The 23,009-nt window shown below is 59.2% G+C and overlaps 1 protein-coding gene and 1 long non-coding RNA gene across 8 annotated transcripts, besides 9 other annotated features; one reads left to right on the top strand and one right to left on the bottom strand.

Annotated features, from left to right (window-relative positions):
- Nucleotides 373-913: an enhancer, noted in NCBI's record as "H3K4me1 hESC enhancer chr9:139027429-139027969 (GRCh37/hg19 assembly coordinates)". NCBI's record gives its function as "activates a minimal SCP1, AML or CMV promoter by ChIP-STARR-seq in naive H9 embryonic stem cells {active_cell/tissue: H9 hESC(naive)}" and the evidence as "EXISTENCE:reporter gene assay evidence [ECO:0000049][PMID:30033119]".
- Nucleotides 3,093-3,152: a silencer, noted in NCBI's record as "silent region_20501". NCBI's record gives its function as "represses an Ori minimal core promoter by ATAC-STARR-seq in GM12878 lymphoblastoid cells {active_cell/tissue: GM12878}" and the evidence as "EXISTENCE:reporter gene assay evidence [ECO:0000049][PMID:35858748]".
- On the bottom strand, nt 12,131-18,704 carry LOC107987142 (uncharacterized). Of its 3 annotated transcripts, none has more exons than NR_165242.1 (2): nt 18,594-18,704; nt 12,131-14,710 (listed from the first exon to the last, which is right to left on the bottom strand). It is a non-coding gene; the product is annotated as an uncharacterized LOC107987142 (long non-coding RNA). The 3 variants fall into 3 exon arrangements; NR_165240.1 differs by lacking the exon at nt 18,594-18,704 and adding an exon at nt 17,399-17,476; NR_165241.1 differs by lacking the exons at nt 12,131-14,710; nt 18,594-18,704 and adding exons at nt 16,144-16,676; nt 17,399-17,476.
- Nucleotides 16,219-16,793: an enhancer, noted in NCBI's record as "H3K4me1 hESC enhancer chr9:139011549-139012123 (GRCh37/hg19 assembly coordinates)". NCBI's record gives its function as "activates a minimal SCP1, AML or CMV promoter by ChIP-STARR-seq in naive H9 embryonic stem cells {active_cell/tissue: H9 hESC(naive)}" and the evidence as "EXISTENCE:reporter gene assay evidence [ECO:0000049][PMID:30033119]".
- Nucleotides 16,794-17,370: an enhancer, noted in NCBI's record as "H3K27ac-H3K4me1 hESC enhancer chr9:139010972-139011548 (GRCh37/hg19 assembly coordinates)". NCBI's record gives its function as "activates a minimal SCP1, AML or CMV promoter by ChIP-STARR-seq in naive H9 embryonic stem cells {active_cell/tissue: H9 hESC(naive)}" and the evidence as "EXISTENCE:reporter gene assay evidence [ECO:0000049][PMID:30033119]".
- Nucleotides 16,794-17,427: a biological region, named in NCBI's record as "H3K27ac-H3K4me1 hESC enhancer GRCh37_chr9:139010972-139011548".
- Nucleotides 17,038-17,427: a silencer, noted in NCBI's record as "silent region_20500". NCBI's record gives its function as "represses an Ori minimal core promoter by ATAC-STARR-seq in GM12878 lymphoblastoid cells {active_cell/tissue: GM12878}" and the evidence as "EXISTENCE:reporter gene assay evidence [ECO:0000049][PMID:35858748]".
- Nucleotides 17,458-18,507: a silencer, noted in NCBI's record as "silent region_20499". NCBI's record gives its function as "represses an Ori minimal core promoter by ATAC-STARR-seq in GM12878 lymphoblastoid cells {active_cell/tissue: GM12878}" and the evidence as "EXISTENCE:reporter gene assay evidence [ECO:0000049][PMID:35858748]".
- On the top strand, nt 17,621-21,907 carry TMEM250 (transmembrane protein 250). Of its 5 annotated transcripts, none has more exons than NR_134506.2 (3): nt 17,621-18,011; nt 19,472-21,040; nt 21,546-21,907. NR_134506.2 is itself a non-coding variant. In NM_152833.3 (2 exons), exon 2 carries the CDS (start codon nt 19,596-19,598, stop codon nt 20,013-20,015), a length of 420 nt encoding a protein of 139 aa, NP_690046.3. In that variant the 5' UTR covers nt 17,621-18,011; nt 19,472-19,595; the 3' UTR covers nt 20,016-21,907. The 5 variants fall into 5 exon arrangements, 3 of the variants coding, with proteins under 3 accessions (NP_690046.3, XP_024303480.1, NP_001243455.1); XR_007061371.1 differs by lacking the exon at nt 17,621-18,011 and adding an exon at nt 18,057-18,630; NM_152833.3 differs by having other exon boundaries at nt 19,472-21,907.
- Nucleotides 18,524-19,099: an enhancer, noted in NCBI's record as "H3K27ac-H3K4me1 hESC enhancer chr9:139009243-139009818 (GRCh37/hg19 assembly coordinates)". NCBI's record gives its function as "activates a minimal SCP1, AML or CMV promoter by ChIP-STARR-seq in naive H9 embryonic stem cells {active_cell/tissue: H9 hESC(naive)}" and the evidence as "EXISTENCE:reporter gene assay evidence [ECO:0000049][PMID:30033119]".
- Nucleotides 19,100-19,675: an enhancer, noted in NCBI's record as "H3K27ac-H3K4me1 hESC enhancer chr9:139008667-139009242 (GRCh37/hg19 assembly coordinates)". NCBI's record gives its function as "activates a minimal SCP1, AML or CMV promoter by ChIP-STARR-seq in primed H9 embryonic stem cells {active_cell/tissue: H9 hESC(primed)}" and the evidence as "EXISTENCE:reporter gene assay evidence [ECO:0000049][PMID:30033119]".
- Nucleotides 21,908-23,009: the final 1,102 nt, after the last annotated feature.

Raw genomic sequence — 23,009 nt, 5'->3', positions numbered from 1 at the left:
TGTTGGGAGCATCCCATCCCCGGCACCAAGAACCAAATGCATAATAAAAAGATAGAACCATCACTGCAATTGTCTGATCTATATTTATTTCATAACATGCAGAATTAATAAGATACCGGGTTTAAAGCTACCATGGTAACCAAATGCAGAATGGCTTGTCCCAGGAAATAGATGAATTCATAAATAACCCCGAAGTGCTGATATCAACAGTCGCGGGACCCTCCTGCAATGTTAATTCGACGCCCGTGCCCCCTGCGGCCTGTGTCCGGCGCATCCCGGGCATCTGGAGTGAGGGACACTTGTGGCTTCCACCACAAGCGTCACTCCAGGGACAATAGACTGGCTGCCCTTACCTGGAGCCTGGTATGTGATGGCCAAGTCCTCAAGACTGGGCAAATCGGAGCCCCTGCCAAGCTCTGATCCCTGTGGGGACCAGCTCTGCAGATAAATGGCCACTGGGAGGTTGTGGGGGTGGGCACAGCAGGCCACCCTATCGCCCTGTAGTTCTGACAGCCAGGCGGGAGCCTCTGGTCCTGCCTTTGTAGGCACCAAGGCAATTCATGGGAGAAGGCATCTGTTCATTCATGCAATCAGGCATTCCTTTGACAAATGTCTCCTGGCCACCAAGCTTGTGGGCACACAGCAGGCGGGCTGGGCAGGGGAGCAGCCTCCAGACACTCAAGCAGCTGACCCTGCCTCCCCGGCCAACGGCAGGAAATGCTGGGGCCACCTCAGGGCTGTCCCTCCGCACGGGGTGAGAGCCCTGCTGGACATTCCCTTAGCACTTGACTGAGAGCTGGTCACATGCTGCCTGTGCCACTGTGGGTCTCCATGACCTTCACGTTCCACAACAGAACAGCTCCCCACGGCCACGATTGTGCCAAGGGGCGTGCAGGGGCCATGGCAGCATGTGACAGTAGCCAGCAAGGGCCAGGGCAGCATGTGACAGTAGCCAGCAAGGGCCACGGCAGCTGCCCGACCAGCTGCCCACAGGATGGGGCTAAGCCACGCTTCCAGGTGGGTGGCCCTGGCCTCGATTCAGGCCTCAGCCCGTCCTGAGGGTGAGTGCCCCTGCCCCAGGAGCCTGTCTCCTGTCTGAGCAATGTGAACCCCTGCCCCTGCCTGGCCAGAATCCCAAGAAAGAATCCAATAGAATCAGTGAAACCCCGGGGCAGGGGTGAGGGAGGCATGAGGCAAGCACCGGGGACCCTTAGGGCAGGGAAACTATTGTACAGAGCGCTGTGAGGGTGGGTGCTGTCTTTATGCACCTGTCCAAAGCCACGCCATGCACACCTCCAAGAGGGACCCCTAATGTACGCTGTGGACTCTGAGGAATGATGATTTTGCTGTGAACCTAAAACTGCTCTAAACAATAAAGTCTAGGCTGGGCGCGGTGGCTCACGCCTGTAATCCCAGAACTTTGGGAGGCCAAAGTGGGTGGATCACTTGAGGTCAGGAGTTCGAGACCAGCCTGGCCAACATGGTGAAAACCCGTCTCTACTAAAAATACAAAAACTAGCCAGGCGTGGTGGCTCACGCCTGTAGTCCCAGCTACTTGGGAGGCTGAGGCAGGAGAATGGCTTGAACCTGGGAGGAAGAGGTTGCAGTGAGCTGAGATCACGCCATTGCACTCCAGCCTGGGTGACAGAGCCAGACTCCAACTCAAAAAAAAAAAAGTCTATATTTAGTTTTTCTCTTCTTTTTTCTTTTTTTGAGACAAAGTCTCACTCTGTCACTCCGGAGTGCCATGGTGCAGTGGCCTGATCATGGCTTGCTGCAGCCTCCACCTCCTGGGCTTCAGTGAGCCTCCTGCCTCAGCCTCCCAAGAAGCTAGGACTACAAGTGCACACCACCATGCCTGGCTAATTTTTTTAAAGAAAATCTTTTTGTAGAGACAGGGGTCTCACCATGTTGCCCAGGCTGGTCTCAAACTCCTGCCCTCAAGTAATCCTCATGCCTTGGCTTCCCAAAGGGCTGGCATTATGGATGTGAGCCACGCCTGGCCCATTATCACGCAAATGCTTTTACGGGACCAACTCCTTTCTGAACTGTCCCTCCCTGTCTCCTAGAGCTCACAGAACTATTTCCAGAAACCCCGGAGCATCGTCAGCCATTGCTGGCCTGCCAACCTGCCTCCTGTCTGAAGCTGTCTCTGTCTGGAAGAGCCATTTACCCAACAGGTGTCTGTCTTATGCTCGAGTTGCTGAGTGGGAAGGCTGGGGACACGGGTGGGTAGTGGAGGAACTGCCTGCCGGGGGGAAGGTTGGGGAGATGACCAGGCCGTGTCCAAGCTGCAGCCCTAACGCTCCCGGGAAGAGGACGGGGTGAGCCAGTCCCGGGGCTGTGGGACTCCTGTCTACACCTACCCTCAGCAGCCCAGACCACCTAGAGGGAGACAATGGCACCAGCCGGGACCAGCGGCCAGGGGGTCTTTGTGCAGTGTGGGGCACCCTTGAAAGGTCAAGCCCTTTCTCTTGCGACCACTGACTGATCTTACAAGCAGCACTAACGGCTGCCTCCCCGAGGGCTCGGTCTGTGCCCCGCAGCCTGTCAGCGCGGAGACAAATCACTTCCTCCCCTCGGCCTCGCTGCCAGCCCCGAAGGAGACTGTGGAACATCCTGGTGGAACCGGGACCCCGCGCTGTCTCCACGGGAGGCGTCCGGTGCCAGCCTGGCTCACCTGAGCCCCGGTGCACACCCGGGCTTCGCACCAACCCATGCCTCGTACGCTCTTGTCTCCCTTTCTGTCTCTGCCTCTCTTCCCCCATCTCTCTCTCTCTTTCCCTCTCTCTCTCCCTCTCTCCCTCTCTCTCTCTCCCTCTCTATCTCTCTCTATCTCTGTCTCTCCCCGCCCCACCGCTGGTGATTGCTGGGTGACCGTCTGGAGTGGGCGCCGAGCACGCACGCGCCCTGGCCTGGGTCCCCCACCCCCCGCCTGTGCTCCTGCAAGAAAAGCCCGCGCCCAGGCCGCGGGGCCGCTCTTCCCGTCTCAGGAGGAAGGGAAGGGGCACAGGAGTCCGGGCGCGGGGCTGGGGGCGGTGCTGCCGGGCGGTCTCCCCGACCCAGCACGCGGGGGTCCGGGAGCCGCGGGAAGGACAAGGCCGCCCCCTGGCGCTGGCGAGCGCTGCAGCTCCCCAGACCAGCTCGGAGCCAGCGCGGGGACTGCGCGGCTGCGGGGCGGGGCGGGGCAGGCCGGGGTTGGTGGAGTATGCGGTGCGGGGACGGGACAGGCTCGGGGTTGCGGGGCGGGGCGGGGCAGGCTCGGGGTTGCGGGGCGGGGCGGCTGCAGGAGCTGGGCGGGAGTTGGGGGCGGGCTCGGGGGCGGGGCAAGCTTAGGGGCAGGGGTGGGGGCAGGAGCGGGGGTGGGGGGAGTAGGCTGGGGGGGCAGGCCGGGGTTGGAGGGGGTACCGGCGTAGGGGCGGGGCAGGCTCTGGGGCGCGGGGGACCCTGCGCACTGGGCCTTCGGGGCGGCACTGGCACAGCGTCCCGCCTGGGTCTGCCCACGACCCCCACACTCCTATGTCCTCCACCCCTGCACCCCAGGGACCCCACGAACAGGCGGTGCGAGCTCCCGGGCTCCGCGCTCTGCAGCGCCCCTGCGCGTGGGGCGGCCTCAGGAGGCCTGTGCTCCGCAGCAGCGCCGGCCTCGGGCTGAGGTCCCGGAGCCAGGGCTGCACTTCCTGCTCAGCGGACCTCAGGAGTAAACTGAGGCACAGAGAGAGCCAGGTTCGCCGGGGTGCAGGAGCCGCACAGGGAGGATGGAGATTCAGCCGGACCCGGAGTGGGGGGACCCAGCCGAGCCGCGGCCCCAGCGAGGCCGGGCGCCTGACGCGGGCCGGCGGCGGCCGTTTGCCCCCAACTCCCGACGCCTTCGGGGGTCCCAGGCACCCCGCAGCGGGCGTTTCCCAGCTCCATCCCAGGACTGGGCGGCGGGGCGCGCACCCCTGGCTGCAGGGACGCGGGGGCGCAGTGGGAAGGGGAGCTCTCTTACCGTCTCAGTCTCCGGGGGTCGCGCATAGAGGCCGAGGTGGCCCTGCAGGCATCCAACCGGCCTCACCCCTCAAACAGGGAGAAGGCTGGGACGAGGGGCCTGACTGGGACAGCCCACCCGGAAGGGGCAGCACTGGCCACTTGCCCACTCCCTACCTGAGGCCTGAGTGTCCGGAGTGCGCAGGAGGGCTTAGCCGTGCGCTCCCCAAAACACAGACCCTAGCCCTGCGCCTGGGTCCTCCCGGGGGCATGGGTAGGAGGCCACGGAAGGGAAGGGGTTATTTGGTCCCCAGTGTCACCCAGGGAGGCAGGAGACCCAGCCACCGATGAGAACTGACACTTTAGAGGGCTGGGTTTTAGGACGGCAGGGTGTGCCCCCGCTGCCCCTCCCATGATGACAGGGCACCTGCCTGGGTTGTGTTCAGCTTGTGCCCATCAGAGACACGGTCACCACTCCCCACACGCACACTGCACAGAGGAGAGCTGCGCTCTAGCAATGGCTTCCAGGACACGGGGCGCCGTGATCTGAGGGGTCAGTGCCTGGTGATGAGGTTGAGGGTGTCTGGAATCAGTGTTCACTGTGCTCACACGGGCCATGCTTTTATGGGACCATCTCCCGTCTGAACTTGTCCGTCCTGCCCCGCAGACCTAATGGAATGATCTTTCCAGAAACCCCAGAACATGGGAGGCCATAGCTGGCCTGCCCACCCCACTCTGTGCCTGGGAAGATGCCGAAGACAAACGCTCTTTCAGTATCTTTTCCTGCCCAGTTGCTGAGTCGGATGCTGGGTATGCAGGTGGCAGGGTGGGCCTGCTGGGGGGAAGATGATCAGGCTGTGTCCAAGCTGCAGCCCAAATGCCCCCAGAAGAGGACACCATGAGCCAGTCCCAGGGCTGTGGGACTCCCACCTAGAGGGAGACAATGGCGCCAGCAGGACCAGCGGCCCGGGGGGCTTCGTGCAGTGTGGGGCACCCCCGACATGCCCCGTCCTTGCTCTTGCAACCACCAACTTTGCCGGCAGCACTAACTGCTGCCTCCCTGAGGGCTCAGTCTACCCTGCAGCCTGTCTGGGCCACCCGCATTCACCTCTGAGACCCAGCACTTCATACCCATGGTCTCGGTGCCACATCCCGGCACCACCCCCATGCTCCCCTCCCCCCCCCCCCGCACCCAAGTGTGGCGCTTCCCAAACCCCTGCCTAGAAGGCCACTAGCCCTGCCCGAGGTTTGCTCTCACACAGGCCCCTGGCCCACACCCCAGGTTGCAGGGAGAGCTCTCTCCCGGGCCCGCCCTCCGCCCTCCGCCCTCCTGATCCCTGTTTGGCCTCCTCGTAGACCCCCACCTGCCCCATTCCCTACTAGAGCACTCCTAGAGGTAGGTCCAGCCTGGCCTTGGTGTCCAGGACTGCTGCCAGGACAGAGGACAGAGCAATCAGAGGCAAGGACCTGCCCCAGGACAACCAAGACAGCACGGTTGCCAAGAACCTTTTGTCAGAGATGCCTGGAGAGCGTTTCTCTCATTCCAACCAGGTCAGCCCTGCCTGAAGAGAGCACGTGACGCAGCGGGTGACAGGTGTGCAAACAGACAGCCCCTCCCTCCCTGGGGCCGGTTGTGGGACAGGCACTGGGGTGAGTCCGGCCCACAATCAGCAAGGCTTCCTGGAAGAGGAGGCCTTGAGCTGAATTTTGAAGGACATGAAAGGAAAAGTTCGCAAAGGTATGCGAGACTGCCAAGAAGGGGGTGCAGGGGGCCACGTGGGCAAAGGTTCAGGGGCGTCGGGGGTGTGGTCCCTGGCCACGGACAGCCTGGTGTCCTCGGGACAGGGTGGCCTCAGCCATGACTGGGCCAAGCTAGAGTCTCCAGATGCTCAGAAAGGAGCTCGGACTCCTGCCTGTGGGTCAGGCTTGCCTTTGAGAAGGTTCCCTCTGAGTGGGAGGCAACTGCAGGAGGACCTGTGGAAACATCTGGAAGGATTGGGCCAGCGCTGTGGGGTGTGATGCGGGGAGGGGACAGATCACAGTTGGAAAGGCGTTGACACTGCAGGTACCTGAACAGCCAAGCAGGGACGCCACAGCCTCCCTGTCCATCCCCCCAGGGAGAGCCACGCAGCTGTGCAGGTGGGTGAGGACGTCTGTGCTCTGCTGTGGAAGGAGCTCCAGGCCTCAGTTACCTGACCGCAGAGGCATGGCATGCTTCCAGCCTGAATGCAAGAGAGGCAGGATGAATAAGGACAGACCCTGTGATTCTGCTCAGGGCCCTCAGAGCCACAGAGACAGAAAGTCGAATGGAGGGTCCCGGGGCTGGGAGGGGACGGGGGTGAGTGTTTCATGGGGACAGAGCTTCAGTTTAGGAAGATAGCGAGTTCTGGAGATGGAGGGTGGTGGCTGCAGGACTGTGAAGGTGCTCACTGACACGGAATCGTGCACTTGAAAATGGTGAAGATGATAAATTTTGTTGTGTGTCTTTTGCCACAATTACAAAAAAAAAAATAAAAAGGGAATGAAAAGATACATTCCTAATCACAGCCAGGATGTGGTTTGATCTCTAATCATGGAAATGTCATATCTACTAAAAAAATTACATTTAAAAAATGGTAACGGGGCCGGGCGCAGTGGCTCATGCCTGTAATCCCAGCACTTTGGGAGGCCGAGGTGGGTGGATCACCTGAGGTCAGGAGTTCGAGACCAGCCTGGCCAATGTGGTGAAACGCCATCTCTACTAAAAATACAAAAATTAGCTGGGCGTGGTGGCACATGCCTGTAATCTCAGCTACTCAGGAGGTTGAGGCAGGAGAATCACTTGAACCTGGAAGGCAGAGGTTGTAGTGAGCTGAGATCATGTCACTGTATTCCAGCCTGGGCAACAAGAGCGAAACTCTGTCTGAAAAAAACAAAAACAAACAAACAAACAAACAAAACAGGTAATGACAGCAAGATTGGCCGACAGGAGTGACAGTGAGGAGGAGAGTCTGGCACGCCCCTTGTTCCCAGCCTGGTGGTGAGTGGTCTCGAGAGCCCCAGATGCCTGAGCGGGATGGGAGGGTGTTTCCGGTGAGAGCTCCACGGCCTTAGAAGCTCTGGGAACGGCCTGTCATTCCGCCCACGGCTCAGGGGTCCGTCAGTGGTGGCCCTGCTTGGTCCACTGTGAGTGCCCAGTCTGGACCCCGTCGCCCTCGCAGTCTGGGAGGCCCCAAAGGCAGGTGTGGGGATGCCCCTCCGGATGCATCCCTGTCCTGCGTCTGTCCCAGAGCTTGTCCTGTGTAGACCTGCTCTCCTGGCAGAGCGTTTATTTCCATTCTCTTCAAACAGAAGCTGCCCAGCGATGCTGGAATTGGGAGTTTGGATGAAAACGGCTCTCACTGTCACCTTCCAGCCCTCCTCACTTTACCCACCCTCTGCCTGGGCTCCCTGTCGCTTTTGATATCCTTTTTTTTTTTCTTTTTTCTTTCTTTTTATTGTGGTAAAATACGCATAATTCACCATCTTACCATTTTTAAGCACACAGTTCAGTGGCCCTGAGCACATTCACCTGACGCTGCGGCTGTCACCTCCCTCCATCCACAGAAGTCTCCATCTTCCCCACTGAAGCTCTGTCCTCATGGAACACTCACACCCCTGCCCCAGCCCCTGGCACCCACCTTTCCACCTCCAGTCTCTGGGCGTGAAGACTCACACGCGGGTTTGTCCTTTGGCTGCCTGCACCTGGCTGCGGCATGCCAGTGTCTTCCTTCCAGGGACATCACCCTCCCAGCTTCCAGCCAGGTCACAGCTCAGCAGCTCCCCAGGGCCTTCGGGCCTTCCCTTCCCAAGACAGACTCTCCTGAGCCCCTCAGCCCCCGAGCTCCTCCCTGCGAGGGGTGCTTTCAGCTGCCTGCGTTGGAAGTGGCCAACGCCAGGCCTGGTTCCCTTGGCAGAAAACAGCCTCACCGTCTCTCAGAAGACCCCAGGGAGGGCGGGTGAGGGTGGCGATGGCGGGACGCAGGCGGGGAGCCCTCAGCCCTGCCAGCTAGCGGGCAGCACGGAGCTTGCCAGGGCACGTCAGCAGCCTCAGAAAGGTCAGCCCCATCAGCAGGTCCAACCAGAGAGCGGCATTTGAAATGTGTGTGTGCACAGATTTATGTGCAGGGATGTTCATCACAGCATTATTTATAATAAAAAATTGGCACCAACTCACACATCCAATCAGAGAAGAAAGGTGAGGTGAATGATGGTGCATCCGAGCTCTGGAATACACCGTGGCCACTGAACATGAGATTTATGAGGGGTACTCGGACTTGAAAAAATGTTCATTCCATAAGGTCAAGCAGGGAAAAAGCAGAATGCAAGCCCATGTATGTCCCATCAGCCCTATTTTGAAATTCAATAAAATAAAGCATTTAGCCAGACGGAGAGCACGGGCCGTCAAACGTCCCAGGCTGGGCTGGAGCCCCATCTGCGCAGGGCCCCACAGGGATGCATGCTGAGGGCTTCACAGAGGTCCTCCACCAAGAGGTGGGGGGACGGGGGCCTTGGGGGAATGAGGTGGGGTCCCAAGGTGGGCTCAGGTACAGTCAAGGCCTTGGACTGCACCAAAGTGATTCAGCTCACGGTCAGCTCAGAAAAGGCACGCACCAGCCTCCTCCTCCTCCTCCTCCCTCTCTCTGTCTCTTTCTTTGTCTCTCTCCATCTCTGTCTCTCTGTTTCTCCTTCCGTCTGTCTCTCCTTCCCTCTCTCTGTCTTTCTGTCTCTTTCTCTGTCTTTGTCTCTCTCTCTCTCTCCATTGTCTCTTCCTCATCCACTAGAATGACACAATAAGCAGGTTTGGCTCTGGTTGAATTAGTTTCACTAAATTTTACAAAAATAAACACCCACAAAACTTTGGTCCCATTTTTAAGCACAAACACCTGCATGGGTCTCGGGGTGTCGGTGCAGTTTGCCTGGGTTTGGGGTTCCTGCTGGACGAGGCGGCCTCCTGCAGTGGCCGAGTAAGCCTGGGGCAGAGCCGCGGACACCCGAGAGGTTCCGCGCCCGCAGTGCAGGCGCCACCTCCAGCCCGCGGTGTCCGAGACAGGCCCCCTTCCCCCAGAAAAGGACATAATCCTGATTTAATCGGGAATCTTCAGTAGGTACAAGCGGGCTCTGAAAGGGTGATGTGGAAGGAAACAGCCATTCTGAGCACATTTGGGTTCTCATTGTTCGGGAAAAGACACAGAGGGACCCAGGCCGAGGTTGGTGGAGCCAAACAAAACCGGAGTGGAGCTTTTTCCAGACGGTGCTTCCCAGGTCTGGCTGATTCAGGTGTGGGAAGGAGGCTGCCCCAGGCCGTTCCCAGGTAGCAGTGAAGTCGAGCCCCGTGCCTGGTTGACCGAACCTACCTCCACGTCAGGGAGTGACTGAAACAGCTCCCCAGGTGGAAAGAGAGCTGGTTCTCCGTCCCCACCTCGGAAGGCCTTCGGCCCCAGCGTTGGTGTCCCGCCCTGGCCCCCCTTGGGCTCATGTTCACAGGAATTCATCATTTCCCAGCCGCTAGATTACTCTGGGGCTGATTAAATTAGCGAATGCAATCACAATCTGAAGCAAGTTAATTGAGAGAATTTATTTGGGCCTGACAGTTTTATGCATGTTTGATTAAGTATTATAAGGTTTGTTTTTGATTTTGCATAATTTAACTTTAAATCCTGCATGGGGGGGCCCGTCAACCATTAACGACCAAAATAAACCTCTTTTAAGATGCATCTTTTTATGATTTATTTCTGAATGCAATATCTTCCAGATTTTTTTGATGCTATTGCCAAAGTGACGAATATGTTTAAAGTAACATTTTGAGCCATCCCATTCACCCTGTAAATCTTCCAGAATGTATACAATTCATTAAAAGTTTTGAAAGAAGTACAAGTTAGCATTTATATTGCAACAAGTGACATATAAATGCGTATGTTTGTCTTCCAAGTGTGCCATAAAATATATCCCCCCCGTGAGCTCCTCGGAGCCATACAAATCGTCCATGCTCTGGGGTAATGATAAACTTGGTCACAAATCTTCACTGCTGTCAACGCAAAACTGTTCAATCAACAGGAATATGAGTTGTGTGTTTTGTGAAATTAGCACAGGAGAAAATACAGCCCAGGCCTGGGTCTAGGGACATTGTGGCCCTGGGAGGAGGGCCCAGGGTGAGCGCTAACCTTGAATGCAGGCTTCCTAAGCCCCCTTTGTAATCTGAATCTGGGTGTTCTGAGGCCACTTGCTTTAGGCAGCCAAGGACCTGCTGCCCGGAGAAGACCAGGACCACCAAGAAAATGGGCAAGCAGCCCCGTCCTCCCCATGCTGAGAAGCTGGGGTCTCCGTCCATGAGCCTAGCCAACGGCCTGCATTCCATGAACATCACTGCTTTCCAACGGTGGTGTTTATTAAGCACTTACTCTGCCTCAGCCTCAGCTAAGGGCTTCGCATCATTAAATCATTAATGGCCACCAAGGATAAGCCCAGCACATAGATGTGCATGCTCAGGAATCTGAAGTCATTCACCCAACCGTAGAATCTCCTCTTGCAGCTTGGGATGGTGGGATGGGGACACTTCTGAAATCAAGCACATCTGTGATCCATGCCTCCCTGATGGCCCCTGACACCACTTACAAGGCCCCCAGACACAGATCTGTGCCCACTGTCTCCCTCACCCCTGCATGGCACCAACAGGCTACTGGGCACATGGTGCCAGGGCTGCCCCGGGTGAGTTACATGCCTGTGGATGCCAGTGGGCCATGCCAGGTTGAGGCCTGTGGCCCTCCAAAGTCCTTGGGCCTCCATTTTTGAAAACCCAGCACAAGCCAGGCACTTTAATCAGCCAGCCATCCAACCAACCAACCAATCATCCAACCAATCATCCAACCAACCAACCACCCATCCAACTAACCAACCATCCAACCAACCAACCATCCAACCAACCAACCAACCAACCAACCAACCAACCAACCATCCAACCAACCAAACATCTAACCAAACAACCAGCCATACAAAAAACCAACCATTCAACAAACTGATCAACCAACCAGCCAACCATCCAACCAACCAACCATCCAACCAACCAACCATCCAACCAACCAACTAACCAACCATCTAACCAACTAACCAACCAACCATCCATCTAACCAACCAACCATCCAACCAACCAACCAACCATCCAACCAACCAACCATCCAACCAAACAACCAACCAACCAATCATCCAACCAACCAACCAACCAACCATCCAAACAACCAACCAACCATCCATCCAACCAACCATCCAGCCAACCAACCATCTAACCAAACAACCAACCATCCAACAAACCAACAAACCATCCAACCAACCATCCAACAAACCAACAAACCAACCAGTCAACCATCTAACCAACCAACCATCCAACCAACCAACCAACCATCCAACCAACCATCCATCCATCAAACCAACCAGTCATATCCAACCAACCATCCAACCAACCAAGCAAGTACACCCTGAGCCCTACCGCCTGCCAGGTACCAGGAACTCAGGGAAACAGAGGAGGGCGCCTCCTTTCAGAGCTTGAGCTCCAGAGAGATTGGACAAGAAAGCACAAGCATGAAAGTAACAAAGACCCTGAGATGGCAAAGGCAGCGGGGCCTCTGCACCCAGCACTCAGCACTGAGACCGAGTGATGTAGCCGGGCTTAGAAAGATCTGGACAGTGCCGGCAGGCTGAGGGGACCGCAGGGAGGGGAGGACCTGGGCTCTGAGGCTGCCCACTCTCTCCCTAACCTGAGTGTCTGCCTCCGTCAGGGAAGGGGATTCTCCCGCAGGGGCTCCGAGGGGCCCACTGCTCCCCATCCTTCCGAAGAGGACACCATGGGGAGCTTGTGTCCAGACCAACAGGGTACAGAAAGCCCTGGTCCAAGTGCTGCCCTCCAGCCCCCACCTGATGGCCCAAGTGACCTCGAGCAAGTTGCTGCACCTCCTGACCCCTGTAAACAGGGACAGCCACAACACACTTTCCCAGGTCGCTGTGACCAAGGCCCCTGCCATGCTCAGTGGAGTGCCTGGTACACAGTTCCCCATCACTCCCCATCAGAGAACATCCAGAATGGGATGCCTTCAAACAATAAGTACCCCTGGGATTGCCTTGCCCTGCGGCCGTAACAAAGGACCACAGATTCCGTGGCCTTAACAGCATGCATTTATTTACCATCTCACAGTCATGGAGACTGGAAGTCCAAGATCAAGGTGTGGGCAGGGTTGGGTCCTCCTGAGGCCTCTCTTCTGGGCTTGCAGATGCCGTCTTCTCCCTGTGTCCTCACGGTGTCATCCCTCTGTGCATGTCTGTGTCCTAATCTCCCCTTTGTCTACGGACACCAGTCAGATTTGGGCCCACCCTAATAACTTCGTTTTACCTCCATGGCCCTTCCTCCCTCCCTCCCTCCCTTCCTTCCGGTGGGTGCTCCGGTCTCCTGGAGGCTTGTCCACGCTGGGGCCAGCTTCTCCCAGCAGGTGCTAAGAGCTAAAAGGCAGCATGCAGGAGGCAGAGGGGAAGCCATGGGGCTTCTTCTGCCTCAGCCCAGAAACTGTGCAGAGTCCCTCAGGCCTCTATCTGGTTGCAGGACAGTCACAGAAGCCAGCACAGTTTCGCAGAAAAGGATTGGCTTGGTCTCCTGCTGGGTAAGTGGGGAGGTGGCTGCAGAAGGGTCTGGGTAGAGATGTCCATGCAGCTGAGAGGATGCTGGGCTCCTGTGTACTGCGTCTCCTTCCCTGGCCTCCTGTGTACTGCGTCTCCTTCCCTGGCCTCCTGGGTGGCTCAGCTCTGTGGGGCCACAGGCCCCACCCCACCCCAGAGACATGGAGAGGGGGTTTGTCATTGAACTTGAAGTCGCACTGGCTCTGTCCAACGACCAGTTAAAATGACTCTGGAGGTTTCCATTCTCTCCCATCCCTTCCCCTTCCCTGGCCCGAACCCTGCAAGGTGGCTGGTGTCAGAGATAGGACTCTCTAGGCCTCTACTGTCCTGGCAGCAAGAGCCACTCCCTGCCAGGACCCTGAAGTCAACCAGCTGGATAAAGTCCCCACAGTGACCCCATCCTTGGCCCCCAGCCCCAGCAAGTGGAGGGACAGAAGGACGGTACTGGAGGGGTTGGGGTGGGCTTCAACATGTCCCACAACCAGGGGTTGCATTCTTTCCACCCACTCAACCCACCTGCTCAGCACGCGCCCTGGGCCGGCCTCGGTGGGGAAAGTGCTCCTTCCAAGCAGGGGTTGGCTCGCTGTCCCTGCAAAGGTAGGACAACCCCAGGTGTTCCCAGCCGCACGGCCAGGGGTCCCGTCCAGCTTGGGGGCTCTGCGTCGGCAGCGAGCACCACATTCGGCCCCAACTTAAAGTCTCCCACAGACCTGGAGCCGCTGGGTCCCTCCTGCGCTTGGCGGCACCACAGGCACCAGCCCAGCAGATGGCGCCAAGCCACTGTCCACAGCGCAGCAGGAGGCCTGACGGGGACAGGGACGGGGACAGGGAGGCTATGGGGACCCCGGCTGGACCTCACACGTCAGGACAAACCCGTGACAAATCCCCAGCACACGGTGGTTCTGGGGTGACCGAGCTGTGGCCAGGCCGGGGGCGCAGGAAGGCGCAGAACCCGGGAGTGGGCAGAGGACCAGAAGCAGCTGCGGCCGGGGAGGAAATCGGTGTCCTGGGAAGCTACTTGCGCTGTGCACGCATGGACTGGGTCACGAGGCCAAAACCCACGGTGGCCACGGCAAGAGAGCCCTGGGCCAGCGGAGACACAGGCCACCAACAGGCGGGGGTGGCTTTGTGTGAGGAGGAAGGGGAGGCAGGAGACAGGGGACAGGGGGTGTGACGGAAGGGGCAGCCCAAGATTGAAGGCGCCTCCCAGAGATGGGGCATTCGAGCTGGGTCCTGAAGGGCGAGTAGGAGCTCGGAAGATGGAGAAGGGACAGAGAGAGAGAAAAGGCAACTGTAAAGAGGTCCAGGCTCCTGCCCTGTACCCTGGTTTCACAGGGAGGTAGGGGAGGCTGGCGGTTCTGGAGGGTCAGCCAGGGAAGGGCGACCCCCACTGTCTTCTGTGAAGGGTGCCAAGGGGTGGCCTCAAGGACAGCGTCCAGCCACGAACACAACCAAGATCAGAACCCACACCCGGGGCACAGACGCTTCCACGTGTGTGGAGCTTACAGATTCTCCAAACCGAAATTCAAGGCAGACAGATGGGACTTGCCCTATAACCCAAGGCACATGAAGCGTTTCCCCGACCATGGCGCCTCTGCTGAAGTCAAGTAATAAACAACTCCGCACTTAAATACTCATTCTCCTGGAAAGGGCAACCAGGGCTCCCCCTTACTGTCCCCTCACCCCAAACCCCAAGTGATATCCCAGCCTTGGAAGCAATGGGCAGCAGCAGCAGGGTTAGCCCGGGAAGCCACCCTCACAGCTAGAGTGGTCATCCCCATCCATGGGCGAGCAGAGACTGGCGGGGCAGGTGGCTGACCAGAGAGTGTGGAACCATCAACACAGACAAGGCGACAAGGGGACAGCTGCACCCTTTGGGAATTCAGGACACAGAACCCTCCTGTAGGGAGAAGCACGTGACTGCGGGCCCAGCCTGAGGTAGTGGCGAGTGGGGGCCCCAGCTTTCCTGGAGATTCTAATACAGGAACATGTTTCAGGACACTCGGGCTGACATGCACTTCTTTTTATTTGTCCAAATCCGGCTTTTTTTTGTTTGTTCATGCTGAAAAAATAAAATCAGAAAGTACAGAAATGTTAAAAAAACAGTAAAATATATTCATCTCTTTAATCCCACCACACATAGATCACCTCTGCAAACATTTATCTGCTTCCAGGACTTCACCCAGAAACGGACACCTAGGAGTACGTCTGTGCTGATGAGGGGTCACACTAGACGTGACTTTGTGAACCACTTTTTTTTTCTTTTTTTTCTTTGTTTTGCGACAGTCTCACTCCGTTGCCCAGGCTGGAGTGCAGTGGCGCAATCTCCGCTCACTGCAAGCTCCGCCTCCTGGGTTCATGCCATTCTCCTGCCTCAGCCTCCCCAGTAGCTGGGACTACAGGCGCCCGCCACCACGTCCAGCTATTTTTTTTTTTTTTTGTAGTTTTTTAGTAGAGACGGGGTTTCACTGTGTTAGCCAGGATGGTCTTGATCTCCTGACCTTGAGATCTGCCCACCTTGGCCTCCCAAAGTGCTGTGATTACAGGCGTGAGCCACCATGACCGGCCTATGAACCACTTTTGACTCAGCCTGGGGGACTGTCTTCTGGGCACAGCTGGCAGTGGGTTCACCTGACCCTGTTTAGCAGCAGAAGCTTCAAGGCCTGTTCCTAATTTTGTATTTTCTTAAGGAAGGTCCCTTAAACCACAGAAGCCTCAGGCCCCACAAAACCTGCATCCGCCCCTGGCTGCAGGACACTCCAGGGTCTGGATGCAGCCAGGGCCAGCCACAGCCTCACTAGCTGACCGCACCTTTAAAAGTACGCGCATTGGCAGCTTTGTTCTGACGGCCACACCCCCCAAGAGACCTCCTTGGCCTTTGGCTTGGGTGATGCTGACCCACATGGAGGGGTCTCTGGCCCAGCAGTCCTGGGACATCCCCTGTATGAAGACCATATGTCTGACATGGCACTTGCCACCCTTTCTGGTCATTTGCCCCTCAGCCTGTCCCTGTCACAAGATGACAGGTGCCTCGAGGGTGGGGGCTCTGCTGTGCCTGTGTCCTTGGTACCCAGAGCAGGGTAGCAGCGTGGGGGCAAGTGCAGGCACGCATGCTGTGCTTCTCTGGGCGGGTGCACAGTGGGAAGCAGGGGGTGTCTAATCCAGAGCTGGAGTCAGGGGACTGCAGGGCAGGGAGGACACGGGAAACCCACAGCAAGGAGCGGGGCTGTGGCTCTGCTCCTCCCATGGCACAGCCACCAGATGGGCCAGGTGTGAGCCCTGATCCATGGACATGCGACCACCCTCACCAGCACGCGAAAAGTCGAGTGACGGGTGACCACCTGCTTTACACGCCACCCTCTATCTGGCCACGGGCGCCATCTCACGGTGCCGGCGTCCCAGCACGAGCCACATGGGAGGGGAGAATTATCTTTGGTTAGTTTGTCTCTAATAGTCCTTAAAACAGAAGACAAAAAATGAAGACAGGCATCAAGATGCTATTATCTCAATGTTTATATATTTAAAATGTTTTATTTATTTTTGTGGAGGCCATGTTGCCAGCCAGGTCGCCCAGGCTAGTCTTAAAACTCCTGGGCACAAGAGATCTGAGGCCGGAATGACAGGTGTGAGCCACCACGCCCAGCCTTATCTCAATAGCTAAACGTGTGGATCTGCCTCACATCTGGAGAGGCAGAGAGGTGAGCCACCAACAGGACTATTGAGGAAGGAAGGAGACCTGTTTATTGATTTTAAGTTTTTTGTAGAGACAGGGGCCTCACTATGTTGCCCAGGCTGGTCTCAAACTTCTGGGGCAAGTGATCCCCCTGCCTTGGCCTCCCAAAGCGGTGGAATGACAGGCGTGAACTAGCGCTTCTTGCCTGACACGTTTCTTTCGGAATATTTGCCGCCAGCCATCGGTAAAGAAAACAGGCTCTTGGCCTTTTTTGCTGTGCTACCTCCTGGTGGCCTTTGCTCGTCCAGATGTTCCTCGAACTCCTGCTCATGTCGGGTAAAGGCGGCTCTCTCTCCTGTGGCGGGGATGGGGCCACAGTGGAGAAGGTAGCTGTGCCAGCCCTCAGGGCGGCCCTGGTCCAAAGGACAGGGGCCCAGGAGCCAGCTCGCCGTCCCGGGAGGCCTGCAGCCAATGACGGGCCTGGTGGGCAGGAGGGCCCAGCCCCCTTGTTCCAGTGCCTTGAATTTGAAGGGCCACCCACTTTACGGTCGCCCCAGGGGCTGCTGACCCTGCCTTCCCCTCCTACCCAGCAGCCACACCCAGGAGCGCTCCCCAACACATTCCTCGCTGGAAACCCCCAGGACAACCGCCAGCCTGTACGAACCAGGCGTGAGGACACTAACACAAGTCCCCTTCCTTCACTGGGGGGCGGCGGGGGGGCGGCCCTGGGGCTGCTGCTGGGCCTGCTCGTGCTCCGGGGCTGTCCCTACTTCGGCTGCCGACGTCGCCGCCGGCCCACCGGGCCTCGCAGCTACACACCCGATCCGTGCCGCCCGGGTCCGCGTGGCGTCAGCCGCCCCCACCCTTCCCCGCCCTCCTGGAGCCTGGGGGGCGCCCTCATTCCCGCCGCCGCCCTGTCCTCCCAGCCCCAGGCCGCGCAGGAGGCCTTCGCACACGGCCCCGCGAGGACCAGACCTGCTCCCGGTCCCTGGGCCGCCCACCCCCGCCGGGAAAGCGGCTTCCTCCGGGGCCCGGCCCCACCCCAGCGACGGCAGCAGCGCGCCGGGTCGCAGACACCTCAGTCCGGGGCCAGGACCACGGTCAAGCCCTCTGCTGGGGCCAAAGGACTGCTCCACGGAAGCGCGCCTGCGCACTGCCTCTCCACGGGATGCGGTAGCGCGTGCGCGGAGGCGCGGCCCAGGAACGGCAAGCGCAGGCGCAGAAGACCAGGCGCGGCACCGAGGGCGTTCGGGGGAGGGAACGCTACGGACTGCTCGCAGCGTGCGCACGCACGCACGCACGCACGCCCTCGGGAAGCGACGAGTCCGGGACGCCCAGCGCGGGCCCGGAGCAGGGGGAAGGGAAGTGCGGCTCGGTCGGCGCGGGTGGAGGGGGCGTGAGGCCGCCCTACGGTGGCCGTCGAGGGACGGCGCTACGGCTCCCACGCTAGGCCAAACGCCTCCGGCGGCCGCGCCCGAGAGCCCCTTCACCTGCAGGGCGACCCCAGCCGGCGACGCGTGAACCACGCCCTCAGCCGCCTTGCCAGCGCCCCCAGCCGCGCGCCCCAGCACCATGCGGCCGCCCTGCGCACGGAGCCCCGAGGGACAGGGGCACCCGCAGGCCCGGCCCCTAGCACCGCCGGCCGGCCCCGAGGTCCGGGACGCCGGCGCCGCCGCGGAGAGGGCACCGGGTGAGCTGCGGTCGGGGACCCGGCCTAGGCGGGGGCCGTCTCCAGGGCAACGCGCGGCGCGGGACCCGGAAGTGGCTCCGGCAGGGGCTCTGCAGCCAGGGGGCCCGGCGCGGCGCGGCGCAGGCCCGGTGCTCACGCGGAGTTGGCCGGGGCCCGTTGCGTCTCTGCGGCCCCGAGGAAACAGTCCTGGGTCCATGGGCCGGGCCGAGCGGGCGTCTGCAGAAACGCAGGGACCCGGATGGAGCCGCGGGCCGCGAGACCCTGCGGGGACACAGCTCCGCCGAGTCGCGTTTGAGTGGCACCGCCATGGCCGGGGTCCCGGCCGGGGCGAGCTCCAGGCCAAGGCCGGCCTTAAATAGGGCCGCTCTGGCCCCTGCACCCCGTGGAGGAGCCGGGCGGAGGGAGAGGGCGAGGTCGGGCCCCTGCGGGCACGGGAGGGTCAGGCGGCCCCGGCCCCTCCCTCCTCCGCCCTGGCCAGGTCCCCACGGCAGGGCCCCAGGCTGAATCTGAAGGCAGGCGAAGCTCTTGGCAACAGTCCCCTGTAATGTTACCAACTTTCCTGCTCAGATTTTATTTCCTGACCTTTGAGTTCATTCCGTCTACAGATTATTTCGGCAAGGTATAAACGGCCTTTACTAGGTGAAGCTGGAGAGCCAAATGCCGCCTCTGCTCTTTGCAGCCCAGTCTGTAAGGGCCGCTGCCAGGCCCCGGGCCGACCCCACTGTGCACGCCAGGCCCAGCCCCTTCCCTCCCACAGCTACCCACAAAGGCAGTGCTATTGGCACCCCCATTGGACAGAGCAGGAGCCGTCTTGGGGTCAGGTGACCTGCCCAAAGTCACTGCTAGGGAAGGACAGTGCCAGGGTTCAGGCCCAGCAAGGTGACCCCACGGCCCCCGAGCCGTCCATCTGGCACCCAGCAGGTTGCTGGAGTCACCTGCTCCCGCCGGGCTCGTTTTCGGTTCACCTGCGAGCCCTGGAGTCCCTTTTCCCGGCCCTGTGGTGGCTTCTTGCAGATGCCATTTAAGGGCTTGCATCAGCCCTGGGTCAGGCAGCCGCAGAAGACCAGGGCAGTAACGGGCAAACTGCCTAAGAGCAGAGTGTGGTCCAGCTAGTGGGGAGCTGCGAGGATCCTGCAGGAAAGAGCCACTCTTGCCCCTTCCCATCCGTTTTGGCATTGACCACTTCCGGGGGCCTCCCCTGGCCACTGTCCCCAAGGCCCCCTTTCCCCAGTGCTGCCCTAGAACAAGCACTTTGGCTTCCCCAGGTGGTGGGCCCCTTGGAAGTATCCTTGGGAGGGTTTGTGGAAAAGAGCCCAGGAGTGCCTGCAGATCCCGCCCTGGACTCCATTTTCCCGTAGTCCTGGTGCTGGAGTTTGTGTCCACTTTCGCCAGCTGATTGCCTGGGGAGGGATCCGCATGGTGTCCTCATACTGACGTGGGTTTTGCGGCTCTCCCCGCAGGCCGACGCCTCCCCCCAGGGTCAGCTGCGGGCTCCCAGGCCTAGGCGCCCATGACCCCTACGCCAACAGCCGCCTGGACACCGCCGCCGCCACTGCGACCTAGCGCCGCCGCCGCCGGGGCCCAATGCCGGTCATGCCCATTCCGCGGCGGGTGCGCTCCTTCCACGGCCCGCACACCACCTGCCTGCATGCGGCCTGCGGGCCCGTGCGCGCCTCCCACCTGGCCCGCACCAAGTACAACAACTTCGACGTGTACATCAAGACGCGCTGGCTGTACGGCTTCATCCGCTTCCTACTCTACTTTAGCTGCAGCCTGTTCACTGCGGCGCTCTGGGGTGCGCTGGCCGCCCTCTTCTGCCTACAGTACCTGGGCGTTCGCGTCCTGCTGCGCTTCCAGCGCAAGCTGTCGGTGCTGCTGCTGCTGCTGGGCCGCCGGCGCGTGGACTTCCGCCTGGTGAACGAGCTGCTCGTCTATGGCATCCACGTCACCATGCTGCTGGTCGGGGGCCTGGGCTGGTGCTTCATGGTCTTCGTGGACATGTGAGGGCCGTGGGTGCGAGCTTGATGTATCGTCCCGGCCTGTGGCTGTGTTCTCTCCATGGGTGGGGTCGGCCAGCGCCTTCCCTTCGCCCATCCCCCAGGCAGTCGCTGCTGCCCGGCGCCCACGGAGAGAAAAGAAAGGGCTGAGACTTCTGTGATGGGGGCGCGGACACCACCCCTAGGCTGGCTTCCTGGACCCACCCTCCCCGTATGCACTCTCAGGGGCAGCGCCCACCTGCCGGTGGCTCCTGCTCACATGTCTTCGGGTCGTACTGCGGGGTGGGCCCTCCGTTCCGCCTCTCTGTGGGCCTCTCTCCAGGACCACAGCTGCCAGGGACTTTAGACATCACCCTGGGAGGCCCCTGGACACAGAGGGCTGTGTGCCCAGGAGCAATTCCGGAGGGGGGCCCTCCTGGCTGCACAGCCCCTTCTGCGTGCCCTGGCCCCAGCCCCAGCCAACGGGACACGGAAGGCTCCCCTCGCTGACACACCACACTGCCACAAAGCTGCTTACTCTGCCCTGGGCCGCCTGAGGCCTGGCACTGCCCGCGGACCACCCTGTGTGTGTCATCCTGAGGGGCTGTGTGGGTCCTGAGTCCCCAGCCAGCCTTCAGGGTCCCCTTGGATTGTGTAGATGCAGTCTAGCGGGGGGCCGGAGAAGGGCTCAGGTGGGAGGGGCCTCAGCAGGCTCCCAGCTCAGGGGCTGGCCTGGGGGGAACCCTGGGAGCCAGGGGCTGACTCCAGCAACACTGGCCTGTCTGCCTGTTCTGGGAGGGCTGTGAGGATGTCTTGCAGATGCTCTGGATTTCTGCGGAGGCACCTCCATTCCTTTCTGGCTTTTTTTGCGGGGGAGGGCTTTGGGCCTCTTTCTTTGAGGGAACACCGTCAAAGAAAGCCTGGGAGATCGAGGCTTCAGTGAGCCAGGATGGAAACGCGTGTCCCAAGTGTCCGGAGCAGGCGGCAGAGGCCTCAGTGCGGCAAACACAGCCCCAGAGCCTGTGTGGCACCAGCAGCATCTTAGAGCCCCAGGTATATGCTGAGATCTTATCTCACGCTGTCCTCCAGTGTCTGGGGGGCCCAAATGATGGCACAGGGGCAGGTGGGCTGGAGGGGCGCAGATGCCTGTGTTCAGGGAGGGTGGCCACCATGGGCCGAGGTCTCACCCAGGACCCCTTGCTCTGCTCCTCAGCCTTGCAGTCACGGCAGCACTATGGTGGACTGCCCATGGCCGTGTGACTTTGGGGGCAAGTGGGAGGGCGCCCTGAATAATGATTGCAAGGACAACAGGCAGAGGCTACCCTAGAGCAGGACACAGGGTGTGGTACTGACAACCCTAGTGTCACCTCAAATCCATGTCCCCACACTCTGGGCATGGGTGGGACTTGTGACCCTACCCTGTCAGGCGGACCAGTGGCCCAGGAGCCATGAGGACAGTTGTGTGCCACTGGAAGAGAAACTTTTTGAAAAACCCTAAATCAGGTAGAGAAAGCAAAAAATCTCTGGCCGTAAACCGTGCTCTCTAATTTATCGGCAGCTTCTGTGGATGACCTCTGATGAGCCCGGGCTGCGTCCACGCCCTGGGCAGGTAGGCGGGAGCTTCCCTGCGTGGGCCTCATTTCTTGCTGCAGAGAATCTTTTGCACTAAGTCATGCTGTTTCCTCAAAGAAGCTTTGTTTTTTGTTAACGTATTACTCAGAGTCACCCAAGCCTCTTGGCTGAGGGTGAAGGTGGGACGGGAGGCGGGAGGGGGCTGGTGGTGCCGCTCGTGCGGTGTCAACGCTGCAGGGAGTTGTGGCACCTTGGTGCCCTCTGAGCACCTGGCCGCCTGCTGTCCCCGGTGCCTGTGAAATTCGTCATGCCATGACCCACCTGCATTAAACCTATTTTTTTAATGTGTTGATGGAGTGATTGCTTAAAGTTCAATTGTTTTATTCCGTTTTGAAGGACATAATAATCACCCAGAGCACCATAGAAATCATCTTGTGTAAGATGGGAAAGTTTTCCCAAACACTTGTTGCCGTGCTGGGGAAGGAGCCCCTGAGGCCAGGGTTCTCCTTATGGGAAGCTGCCCTGGGGAGATAGCCTAGCTGACAGGCAAAGATTTGTCAGCAGGGCAGTCACCGGGACACTGCTGTGCAGGCCGGTGGAGGTTGCATTCGGCTGACTGGCCCGTTCAGAGTTTTTTTTTTTTTTTTCAGATGGAGTTTTGCTCATGTCAGCCGGGCTGGAGTGCATTGACACGATCTCAGCTCACTGCAACCTCCACCTCCCGGGTTCAAGTGATTCTTGTGTCTCAGCCTCCCAAGTAGCTGGGATTACAGGCGCCCACCACCACGCCCGGATCATTTTTGTATTTTTAGTAGAGATGGAGTTGCGCCATGTTGGCCGGGCTGGTCTTGAACTCCTGACCTCAGGTGATTCACCTGCCTCAGCCTCCCAAAGTGCTGGGATTCCAGGCGTGAGCCCCTCCACCCAGCCTAGTTCAGAGTCTTAAAGCTGAGGTGGTGTTTCCGACGCTGCTGAAAGGAAAGAGGCCTCAGGGCTGTGAGTAAGGACAGCCCGATCCACCTCGGGAAGATGCGCACACACGAAAAAAGGTTGGAAGAAAAATAAAACCAAAGTTCTTATTTATCCAAAAAAACCGTTTGAGGCCAGGTGCAGTGGCTCACGCCTGTAATCCCAGCACTTTGGGAAGCCAAGGCAGGAGGATCACTTGAGCCCAGGAGTTCAAGACCAGCCTGGGCAACATAGTGAGACCCCATCTCTACAGAAAATTTAAAAATGAGCTGGCCGTGGTGGTGTGCGCCTACGAGATCGAGGCTGCAGTGAGCCGTGATTGCACCACTGCACTCCAGCCTGGTGACAGAGTGAGACTCTGTCTCAAAAAAAAAAAAAAAAAGTTTGAAGATCGAGAGACATACTATTCATACTATTGTAGAATCTTTGCTTTGTAAAGGCTTTCTTAGTTTCTGTGAAGGGAGGAAGTTCACGTTTCTCA

Source organism: Homo sapiens, chromosome 9 (assembly GCF_000001405.40).
Source record: "Homo sapiens chromosome 9, GRCh38.p14 Primary Assembly".
Taxonomy (NCBI): domain Eukaryota; kingdom Metazoa; phylum Chordata; class Mammalia; order Primates; family Hominidae; genus Homo; species Homo sapiens.
The sequence above is the reverse complement of the archived record's forward strand: the minus strand, read 5'-3'. Positions and strand labels throughout refer to the sequence as shown.